Source organism: Homo sapiens, chromosome 9 (genome assembly GCF_000001405.40).
Source record: "Homo sapiens chromosome 9, GRCh38.p14 Primary Assembly".
Taxonomy (NCBI): Eukaryota; Metazoa; Chordata; class Mammalia; order Primates; family Hominidae; genus Homo; species Homo sapiens.
In genome coordinates this window covers 94,664,973-94,677,062 of record NC_000009.12, presented here as the reverse complement: position 1 = coordinate 94,677,062, position 12,090 = coordinate 94,664,973, and the positions used below count along the sequence as shown (strand labels likewise).

The 12,090-nt window shown below is 43.7% G+C and overlaps 2 annotated features.

The window, feature by feature from the left end:
* Positions 7,542–7,836: a silencer, noted in NCBI's record as "tiled region #4124; K562 Repressive DNase matched - State 4:PromP". NCBI's record gives its function as "represses a minimal TATA promoter and a strong SV40 promoter by Sharpr-MPRA in K562 cells {active_cell/tissue: K562}" and the evidence as "EXISTENCE:reporter gene assay evidence [ECO:0000049][PMID:27701403]".
* Positions 7,824–7,963: an enhancer, noted in NCBI's record as "active region_28632". NCBI's record gives its function as "activates an Ori minimal core promoter by ATAC-STARR-seq in GM12878 lymphoblastoid cells {active_cell/tissue: GM12878}" and the evidence as "EXISTENCE:reporter gene assay evidence [ECO:0000049][PMID:35858748]".

Genomic DNA, 12,090 nt, shown 5'->3' with positions numbered 1-12,090 from the left:
ACTTACTGGGTCCAGTGGGGACTTGGAGAACTTTTCTGTCTAGCTAGAGGATTGTAAACGCACCAATCAACACTCTGTAAAAACGCACCAATCAGCGCTCTGTGTCTAGCTAGAGGATTGTAAATGCACCCGTCAGCACTCTATAAAATGGACCAATCAGCACTCTGTAAAATGAACCAATCAGCAGGACGTGGGCGGGGACAAATAAGGGAATAAAAGCTGGCCACCCCAGCCAGCAAACTGCCTGGGTCCCCTTTCATGGTGTAGAGGCTTTGTTCTTTTGCTCTCCACAATAAATCTTGCTGCTGCTCACTCTTTGGGTCTGTGCCACCTTTAAGACCTGTAACACTCACTGGGAAGGTTCGTGGCTTCATTCTTGAAGTCAGCTAGGCCAAGAGCCCACTGGAAGGAACCAACTCCGGACACAGCATGACATAGTACTGTATTGGCCACAGCATCACAATGAGTCACCAATGGATGTCCTCTACCTAAGGAGGACTTCTCCAGGAGGGTTACGACTCCACAGAAGAGGTGGAATTTATCTTCCCCACTCCTTCCTGTCTCCTGTATACCAATTGCCAATGTACACCCCCAGATAGCCAAAGGCCCCTCACTTCTGGGTTGCACCATCTAGCCCCTTGGTGGCTTCTAAGTCTCACTTCTGTCCTCTATTAAATGACCTTCCTTATGGGGTGTTTTGAGGATTAAACAAGATAATGAATGCAGGCAGGGCATGGTGGCTCACGCCTGTAATCCCAGCACTTTGGGAGGCTGAGACAGGTGGATCACCGGAAGTCAGGAGTTCAAGACCAGCCTGGCCAACATGGTAAGACCCTGTCTCTACTAAAAATACAAAAAATTAGCTGGGCATGGTGGTGAATGTCTGTAATCCCAGCTACTTGGGAGGCGGAGGCAGGAAAATCGCTTGAACCTGGGAGGTGGAGGTTGCAGTGAGCCAAGATAGCGCCACTGCACTCCAACCTGGGCGACAGAGTGAGACTCTATCTCAAAAACAACAACAATAAAAATCCAGATAATGAATGTAAAACCTTAGTCATTATAAGTACTCAAGAAAATGATTGACAAAAGAAAAGATGCTGGGGTCCTGAGTTCCTGCTCATCTATGAGATGAGGCGGAGCTTAGGATCAGCCACAGAGGAGCAGAGGAGACATCTGGGTATGGTGACAGACTTGGAACCATGTCCAATATTTATGTGCAGCTATTTCAACCAAATTTATGAGAGTGGAGGGAAAGGATAGGATCCAAAAATGCTTCTGCAGCAATAATAATAAGCAAAAATTAAGTAACTTTGGATGCAAAAGACTCACTGTGCAGTGGCCAAGTCCAATTGCTTATAATGGCCTCCTCAGGAAAATATCTATTTCAACAATGTTCCAGGAATGCAGAGAATGCTGGAAATCATTTATTCCAGCTTATTTCTGCCCTTTCTCATGAGGAATGGGGGTAAATATGTAGACCAAGAGCAAAAGTTCACAACTGCATCTGTTGTCTCACTGGGGCAGATTTGTTCCTTTAAAGCTGTGAGGTAAAAAAATCCAAGTTCCAAAAGCTGGCTTTCAACTTTCCCCCACAGGGAATTCACTTATTTTGAATGGCACGGTTACAGGTTTCACTACAGAGTGGCAACCCCACTTCATCTCAGCCAAGAAACTCACGTTAAAGAAAAAACATCCAAGGCCTGCGGAGAACAGATCTAACGCCAACACAGTCAAATTAAACCCTGAAGCCAAAACATCTAAAAATAGGTATTCTCATATTGCTTGTTACTTTTTTTCATGGCATACAATGGAATACCTTAATTCTCTGGTGACTCTGTTAAGGACACAAATTTCATTCAGCAAATATTCCCTGAGACTTCGGGTGGGGTCACAGGCCTTAACATGTAAGCATTGTGTGAGCTTCCTGAACTCGAGGACCTTGCAGTTTAGGTGAAAATATGTGACAATTAACAAATACAGTAGTGAAAAGACTGTTCTAAGGCAGCATGTGATTCTGGATGAATGAGTGAAAGAGATAGCCGAGGGCTCCAAATTTAAGAGAGAGAAAGGGCCCTGTGGGCTGGACAAATCCGTTAAGATTAGACTTAAGGCAAATTTTGAAAAGGATGAAAAGGATTTGGCTAGAGAGAAGGGGCTGAGAGAAGCAGACAGTCTAGGCCAAGGCAATATTATGGGTAAAGATGGAGGGAAAATATGCATGCCATAGTCCAGGGGCAGAGTGGGAAATAATAATAGCAAAAGTTTATTGAGCACCTACTGTCCATTTGGAGGTGCTAAGCCGTTCAACATTATTGTCTCATTTAATGCTCAAAATATCCCCACAAATGAGGCATTCTTTCATCCAGGCAGGAGTGCAATGGCACCATCTCAACTCACTGCAGCCTCCGCCTCCGGGGTTCAAGTGATTTTCCTGCCTCGGCCTCCTGAGTAGCTGGGATTACAGGTGCCTGCAAAGACGCCCGGCTAATTTTTGTATTTTTTGTAGATACAGGGTTTCGCTATGTTGGTCAAGCTGTTATCAAAGTCCCGACCTCAGGTGATCTACCCACCTCGGCCTCCCAGAGTGCTGGGAAGACAGGCATGAGCCACTGTGCCTGGCCAAAAGAGGCATTCTTTTTTTTTTTTTTTTTTTGAGACGGAGTCTCACTCTGTTGCCCAGGCTGGCGTGCAGTGGCACAGTCTTGGCTCACTGCAACCTCCGCGTCCCAGGTTCAAGCAATTCTCCTGCCTCAGCCTCCCGAATAGCTGGGACTACAGGCGCCCACCACCACACCTGGCTAATTTTTTGTATTTTTAGTAGAGACGGGGTTTCACCGTGTTAGCCAGGACGGTCTTGATCTCCTGACCTGGTGATCTGCCTGCCTCGGCCTTCCAAAGTGCTGGGATTACAGGTGTGAGCCACTGCGCCTGGCCGAAAAGAGTGACTAGCCCAAGGTCAGAGCAGGGCAGTGATTTGAACTCAAGATGCAGGTTCAGGTCAGACTGTGAGAAGCCTCACTGGCTGTTTGTGTGGGGTAACCCATGAGGCAGAAATAATACAAAGAAAAAGGAGACTCAGGAGCCCGGGCGCGGTGGCTCACGCCTGTAATCCCAACAATTTGGGAGGCTGAGGTGAGCAGATCAGTTGAGGTCAGGAGTTCGAGACCAGCCTGGCCAATATGGTGAAACCCCATCTCTATTAAAAATACAAAAATTAGCCAGGTGTGGTGGCATGCGCCTGTAATCCCAGCTACTTGGGAAGCTGAAGTAGGAGAATCACTTGAACCTGGGAGGCGGAGGTTGCAGTGAGCCGAGATCGTGCCATTGCACTCCAGCCTGGGTGACAAAGTTAGACTCTGCCTCAAAACAAAACAAGACAAGACAAAACAAAACAAAACTCAACTTTTATTTTAAGTTCAGAGATACAAGTGCAGGTTTGTTACGTAGGTTAACTCGTATTATGGGGGTTGGTCACACAGATTATTTCATCACCCAGGTATTAAGCCCAGTAACCAATAGTTCTCTTTTCTGCTCCTCCCTCTCCTCCCACCCTCCACCCTCAAGTAGACTTCAGTGTCTGTTGTTTCCATCTTTGTGTCCATAAGTTCTCATTATTTAGCTCCTACTTCTAAGTGAGAACATGCAGTATTTGGTTTTCTGTTCCTGTGTTAATTTGCAAAGGATAATGGCCTCCAGCTCTATCCATGTTCCCGCAAGACATGACCTCGTTCTTTTTTATGGCTGCATTCTTAAACATTTTATCACCCCAAGGAGAAATTCCATACCCATTAGCTGTAATTTCATTCCTTCTGCCCTCAGCCCTTGGCAACTATTAATCTACTTTCTGTCTCTATGGATTTGTCTATTTTTGATATTTTATATAAATGGTATCATACAATACATGGCTGTTAGCCTAACATAGTGTTGTCAAGCTTTCTCCATATTGTAACATTTCTTTTTATTGATGAATAGTATTCCATTTGTTCAGCCATTCATGGACATTTGTGTTGTTTCCACTCCTTGGCTATTTAGAATAATGCTTCAATGAACATTTTTGTATAAGTTTTTGAGTGGACACATGTTTTCAGTTCTCTGGGGTATATACCTAGGAGTGGAATTACTAGGCCATATGGTCACTCTGTTTAACTTTTTGAGGAACTGCCAGACTGTTTTCCAAAGCAGCTGTACCATTTTATATATCCACCAGCAGTGTATGAGGTTTCCAATTTTCTCCACATCCTTGCTAACACTTATTATTGTCTGTCTTTTAAAATTATGGTTATCCTACTAGGTAGGAAGTAGTATCTCATTGTAGTTCTGATTTTCATTCCCCTAATGGCTCATGATGTTGAATATCTTTCCTTGTGCTTACTGGCCATTGTATATTCTCCTTGCAGAAATATCTACTCAAATTCTTTGCTCATTTTTATTGCCCTTTTATTGTTTAGTGGAGTTCTTCATATATTCTAGAAACAAGTTATTTATCAGATATATGATTTACAAATATTTTCTCCCATTCTGTGTATTTTTTTCACTTTTTATTAGTGTTCTTTGCCACACGAAATGTTTAATTTTTTTTTTTTTGAGACAGAGTCTTGCTCTGTTGCCCAGGCTGGAGTGCAGTGGCACGATCTTGGCTCACTGCAACCTCTGCCTCCCAAGTTCAAGCAATTTTCCTGCCTCAGCCTCCCAAGTAGCTGGGATTACAGGCGTGTGCCACCACACCTGGCTAATTTTTGTATTTTTAGTAGAGACAGGGTTTCACCATGTTGACCAGGCTGGTCTTGAACTCCTGACCTCAGGTGATCCACCCGCCTTGGCTTCCCAAAGTGCTAGGATTACAGGCGTGAGCCACCATACCTGGCCAAAATTTTAAAATTTTGATGAAGTTCAATTTGTTTATTTTTAATTGCTAGTGCTTTTGGTGCCACAGCTAAGACACTATTGCCTAAGTTAAAGTCACAAAGATTCACATCTGTATTTTTCTCTAAGAGTTTTATAGTTTTAGCTCTAAATGTAATTTAGGTCTTTGATACATTTTGAATTTTTTTTTGTATGTGGTGTGAGGTGGGGGGTTCAACTTTTTTATTTTGCATATGGATGTGTGTGGTTTCCCCAGCATCCTTACTTTAAAAGACTCTTCTTTCCTCATTGAATTGTCTTATCACCATTGTTGAAAATCAATTAATCCTGAAAGTAATGGTTTATTTCTGGACTCTCAATTTTATTCCATTTATCACTATGTCTATCCTTACAATAGCACCACATCATCTTGATTACTATAGCTTTGGAGTGGAAATGTGAGTCTTTCTACTTTGTTCTTTTTCAGGCCTGTTTTGTGTATTCTGGGTCTCTTGCATTTCCATATGAATTTTAAGATCAACTTTTCAACTTCTGCATAGAAAGCAGGTAGGCTTTTGTTAGGGATTATGTTGACTAATTTGAGGAGGATTATCATCTTAATGATGTTATCCTCCAATCTATGAACATGGCATGTCTTTCTATTTAATTCTTCTTTAGTTTCTTCCAAAAATATTATATAGTTTTCAGTAAACAAGACTCACACTTTTGATTTTTTCTTCTTTTTTGAGACGGAGTCTCACTCTGTCGCCCAGGCTGGAGTGCAGTAGTGCGATCTCGGCTCACTGCAAACTCCACCTTCCGGGTTCACGCCATTCTCCAGCCTCAGCCTCCTGAGTAGCTGGGACTACAGGTGCCCGCCACCACGCTTGGCTAATATTTTTCCTTTTGAAATGGAGTCTCGCTCTGTCGCCCAGGCTGGAGTGCAGTGGCGCGATCTCGGCTCACTGCAAGCTCTGCCTCCCAGGTTCACGCCATTCTCCTGCCTCAGCCTCCCAAGTAGCTGGGACTACAGGCGTCCGCCACCGCGCCTGGCTAATTTTTTTTGTATTTTTGGTAGAGACGGGGTTTCACCGTGGTCTCGACCTCCTGACCTTGTGATCTGCCCGCCTCGTCCTCCCAAAGTGCTGGGATTACAGGCGTTAGCCACCATGCCCGGCCATTGGCTAATTTTTTGTATTTTCAGTAGAGATGGGGTTTCACTGTGTTAACCAGGAGGGTCTTGATCTCCTGACCTCGTTATCCGCCTGCCTCGGCCACCTAAAGTGCTGGGAGTACAGGTGTGAGCCACCATGCCCGGCCAAGACTCACATTTCTTTTGTTAAATTTATTCAATATCTCATTCTTTTGGATGTTATTGTTAATTGAATTGGATTGTTTTCTTAATTTCTTTCCTTTTTTGTTTTCTTTGTTTTTTTTTGGTGAGACGGAGATTTACTCTTGTTGCCCAGGCTGCAGTGCAATGGCGCGATCTCGGCTCACCACATCCTCCGCCTCCCAGGTTCAAGCGATTTCCTGCCTCAGCCTCCTGAGTAGCTGGGATTACAGGCATGTGTCACCATGCCCGGCTGATTTTGTATTTTTAGTAGAGATGGGGTTTCACCGTGTTGCCCAGGCTGATCTCGAACTCCTGACTTCAGCTGATCCGCCCGCCTCAGCCTCCCAAAGTGCTGGGATTACAGGCGTGAACCACCGCGCCCAGCCCCCCATCTCTACTAAAAAATACAAAAAATTAGCTGGGCATGGTGGCAGGCGCCTGTAATCCCAGCTACTCCAGAGGCTGAGGCAGGGGAATCGCTTGAACCCGGGAGTCGGCGGTTGCAGTGCGCCGAGATCGCACCACTGCACTCCAGCCTGGGCGACAGAGCTAGACTCTGCCTCAAAAAAAAAAAAAAAAAAAAAAAATTAGACACAACTCCAGGAAAGCAGGGAAGATCCCAAACTGACTACTAACATGATTCCATGGCTTGGCAGAAGAGAAGCTTAAGAGAAAATTGTTAAAAAAAAAATAAAACCAGAACAATTAGTCAAGAAAAAGAAATAAAGGGAACCCAGATTGGTAAGGAAGAAGCAAAATTCTTTGCATCTGCAGATGACATGGTTTTGTATATAGAAAATCCAAAGAACACACAAAGACAAACCAAAAAAACCTATTAGAGCTAGTAACAAGTACAAGTTTGCAGGATACAGGATCAATATACAAAAACCAATTACATTTCTATTGGAGTAGAGACGAGATTGCACCACTGCACTCCAGCCTGGGCAACAGAGCGAGACTCTTGTCTCCAAAAAAAAAAAAAAAAAAAAAGCACTTTGGGAGGCCGAGGAGGGCAGATCACAAAGTTAGGAGATCGAGACCATCCTGGCTAACACAGTGAAACCCCGTCTCTACTGAAAATACAAAAACAAAAACAAAAAAATTAGCCGGGCGAGGTGGCGGGCGCCTGTAGTCCCAGCTACTCGGGAGGCTGACGCGGGAGAATGGCGTGAGCCCGGGGGGCGGAGCTTGCAGTGAGCCGAGACTGCGGCACTGCACCCTAGCCTGGGCGACAGAGAGAGACTCCATCTCAAAAAAAAAAAAAAAAAAAAAAGGAAAAAGAAAAAAAAAGTGACAGAAAAAACGCTCTCTGCAGAGGAGAGAGGATTCCGAGTGGATTGCGGGGTTACAGCTGAGTTCAAAAGCTTTTATCAGAAACTCTTATCTCTAGCAGTTTGAGTCACTTCTCTTATCAGTAAAGCTGTCTGTGCAATTCCCCTTCTGTTACGCAGCCGTGGGTATGTCTCTAGGCCATCACGAATTCTGCTTTTCTAGTTTGTATTAACTGTGGGTTTGTTTTAGGTAAGCCCCCTCCCCATCTGTGCAAGTTTCCACCGTATATATGCCTGAAAAAAGGGAAGAAACTTTTTTCCTGGGAGCTCACTAAGTTGCTTATCTGTGCGCAGGTGCAGCCTGAGGTTTTTTGTTTTTTTTTTTCCCCAAGGTTGTTTCATTTTTGCCTGTTGCTGTAACTTTTCAGGCAGGTTGCTTCTGCAGTCTGCATTTTCCCCAACTGATTTTTTCCTTTCCTTCTTCTCACAGTGGCTCTCATCTGGGGTGACTTTGCCTCCCTGGGGATGTTTGGCAATAATATCTGGAGACATTTTGGTTCTCACAACTGGAGGGCCGTGGATGCTACTGGCACCTAGTGGTAGAGCCCAGGGAAGCTGCTAAACATCCTGCACTGAACAGGACATCCCCACAACAAATGAATTATTAGGTCTAACGTCAATAGGGTGGAGGTTGAGAAATCCTGCTATAAATCTCGTTTAAATCCGTGAGGATGTGGGCTTTTGAAATAATAATAAATAATTTTAATTTGATTTTCTGTGGTTATATTGCCATCCCTGGGACATGGAGGCAGAAGGTCTATTTGATTAGGGAAGGGCAGGGAGCAGGAGAAAATATCAAAGAGCATCTCAGTCGAGTACCACACAGCAATGAAAATGAATGAGCCATAGACACACACACCACACAACAACCAGATAACCTTGAACAAAAGAATATACAGCATGCGTTCATGTACATAAAGTTCAAAAACAGGCACAACTACTTTACTGAGGAGATTATAGCTGGACAGTAACACTACCAAGAAAAGCAAGGATATTATTGCCATAAAAGTCAGGGTAATGATTACCTCTGGGTGGCGAGTCAGAAAAAGGATACCAGGAGACTGGCATCATTCCATTCCTTGAACTTTTCATTTTCCTTTAAATAGTGCATTTTGTTTTATGAACTTCTACGTATGTTTCACAATTAAAATATAAAAAAAGGGGGACATTAGTTAACATTCAAAAATCTCATCCTCCTAAAACAGAAAGAGTCCCTAAGTGGAAAAACAGGTGAATTACTTTTCTTTTTTTTCTTTTTTCTTTTTTTTTGAGACAGAGTTTAGCTCTTTCCCCTAGGCTGGAGTGAAGTGGTGCCATCTCGGCTCACTGCAAACTCTGCCCCCTGTGTTCAAGTGATTCTCAAGCCTCAGCCTCCTGAGTACCTGGGATTACAGGCACCCACCACCACGCCGGGATAATTTTGTATTTTTAGTAGAGACAGGGTTTCTCCATGTTGGTCAGGCTGGTCTCAAACTCCCGACCTCAAGTGATCCACCTGCCTCAGCCTCCCAAAGTGCTGGGATTATAGGTGTGAGCCACTACGCCCAGCCAAACAAGTAAATTTCAAACGAAGTCTGGGGTTTAGTTAAGTCATGTACCAGTCGTAATCTCCTAGTTTTGACACATGTACTACGGTGATGTAAGATGTTCACAACTGGGGAAACCGGGACGGGGGGAAGGGTCTCTCTAAATTATCTTTGCAGTGTAGACCTAAAATTCGTTCAAAATTAAAAGTTTCTTTAAAAACAAGTCTCTAACACATTTCTAAATGTTTCCCTCTAACCTTTGGTCTTTTTCTCAGCTTTCAGTTTATCAACTTTTGATGATACGAGTAACAACGCTGGGAATAACAGCAGCTAATGCTTAAAGCAAGGCTAGCCCCACAGGCTGTGCTTCTGCTGTTGCTATTATGGAGGATTGGGGAAGTGCAGCAAAGTCTGAAGAAACAGAAAAAACAGCTACTCAGATGCAGTCACTATTTCACTGAGGCATGTTGCCGTCCTCTTTTGGTTTCTCTGTACATTTTAATTTGGCTTACACCATTTTGTAACCTGATTTTAAAAAAACTCTAAACATCGCCGGGCGCGGTGGCTCATGCCTGTAATCCCAGCACTTTGGAAGGCCGAGGCGGGCGGATCACGAGGTCAGGAGATCGAGACCATCCTGGCTGACACGGTGAAACGCCGTCTCTACTAAAAATACCAAAAATTAGCCAGGCGTGGTGGCGGTTGCCTGTAGTCCCAGCTACTCGGGAGGCTGAGGCAGGAGAATGGCGTGGACCCGGGAGGCGGAGCTTGCAGTGAGCTGAGATCACACCACTGTACTCCAGCCTGGGCGACAGACTGAGACTCCGTCTCAAAAAAAAAAAAAAAAAAAAAAAAAAGAAAGAAAGTAAATAATTAGACCAAGGTAGGAGGACAGAACATTTTTCTTTTTGTTTCTCCCACTTGACCATCTGAGGATTCTGTGCGTTCTCATTTTGGCAAAATTCAACAGGATATGGTATTGGCTCAATGTTACTCCTGCCTCGGGCAGCAGAGATGTATATGGCACCAACTCAGCAGCCAGCAGGAAAAGCCGTCTGCCCCACCTCACTCCTGCACAATCGCTCCTGGGGACATCACTACAGTACTGCCCGTGTTCAGTGTCCAGCTGAGAAGCACATCAGAGCCCACTCTGTCTGTTCAATGATCCTGTTTATTTGACCCTTATGACAAAAAGCGTGGAGGGGGCAAAATTCTGTCGCCCACAGCAAAATGTGGCATTTCCCTGGACATTGGAGTCTAGAACTTGGTAATTTAAGTTTGATTTATTTAATTTTGAATGTCACCCAGACACCCACATTGGTACAAACGTCATGGCAGGGTCAAGGGTCCCAGGTTGTTCAACAGCCACATCATCAGCTTTTTGCAAGAGCGGCTGACAACAACAGCGATTTCCCCATATGCAGGCTCAGGTCCGGCCCGACGGGGCTCCAGAGGCCTTACCTGCATCTGAACCTTGTGCCCTAAATTGAGCACCACACATTTCACAGCCCAGAAATCAGCTGATTCAGCTTTGTTGGAGTCTCTGGACTCGACCTTTCTCCTATAATCTCTAAGCTTGTTTTTAATAAATGTTTAACTTCTTGATTAATTTCAGTGATTTCTGAGGGTCATTTTTCACAGCTCAGATAATGAGTTCTAAATGCTTGCTGGGCTGTCCGCTCACTCAAAACTGTAAACGCTTCAGGTTGCTTTTTGTCTCCCTAATACTCTCCCTTATACTCTCCCTTATGTGGGAATGAAATTCAGTCTTTATTCTTTCTGCCATCTGCATAATTGCCAGCGTTTAAAGATGCTTGCTTCTCTCTTTCATAGCCACTGGGAAAAAAGTGTTTGTTCGACCTTCACTAAATTCGTATTTTTCTGGTGTCTTATGCTTATTTCTTGAAAAGTGGCATATAATTAATTCTTAAATGTTGATTTTTTCACTATACTGCCTTTTCTTCAGCAATTTACCTGTTTTTCATTTTCTTCCTCCCCATCCACTTATCCCAGGGAGAAAACTTTTCATCCACATCTTTATTCCATTTGCTTTTTAAAAAGCTTTCTGGTTCTTTGGAAGAAGCAAATGTGATCTGCTGCCCTAGAACCCAAGTGGTCTCCTTTGTCATTTTGTTTGAGCTCTGTGGGTCACATTCCCCATCCTCTGTTCCTGGGTATTGGACTTCGTGGCGCCACATAATCCTGTAATGGAACCACACTTAAAAGCCGGTGGATTCCTCAGAGTATGACTGCTCTCATGCAGTCCCATTACCAGCATTTGTCAGTACAGGACTGAGACAGCAAAGCTACCAGGAGGATATCTGAAAGTGGCAGGAAAGACCAGGATGAGTGGGTTTTCTCCCAGTGTTTCTTTCCCCTCTGGCCATACCACAGACAGACTTCTTTCCTTTTCTTTTTTCCATCTCCCTCCTTCTTACCATGTTGCCTTGTCTTATAATAGCACGTGCTTTAAACTTGCTATTGTATGCCCTGTGATATGATTTTTCAATCACTTATACACAGCATTTTAAAAACATAAGTTGAAGAATGCTGTACATACTGGTGGACACTTGTTTTTTTCGCAGAAATCTTTAATTTCAAGATGATTCCAATCTCTCTCTGTTCTTTTACAGAAATGTTATCAGACAGTATATTACTATTTTCACTTAACAATACGTAGACATCATGTTTCCATGCTTATAATCTCCCTTAAAATGATTTTTAAGAGACCTAATTTTCTACTTTGGGACCTGTCGTCTGTGTCAGTAACTCCTGTCTGCATCCCGCGATGTGCTATGTGGTTCCCGGGTGCTTCATCTACATTTGTGGCTGCACTAGAATTAAATCAACTCACTTCAATGGAAAAAGTCAAATGGTAGATTTGAAGAGTCAGAGTTGGGATTTAGAGAGATTGTAAGTTCTGCAGTCCAAAGGCACCCAAGATTTTTTAGTTTCTTGTTTCTGTTTGTTATTGCTTAATCTCTTTGGAAAAAGCAGAATTATTTTCTAACCTCTCATCAGAGTGGGGGTGGGTGTTCCTGTCACACAGGGAAGA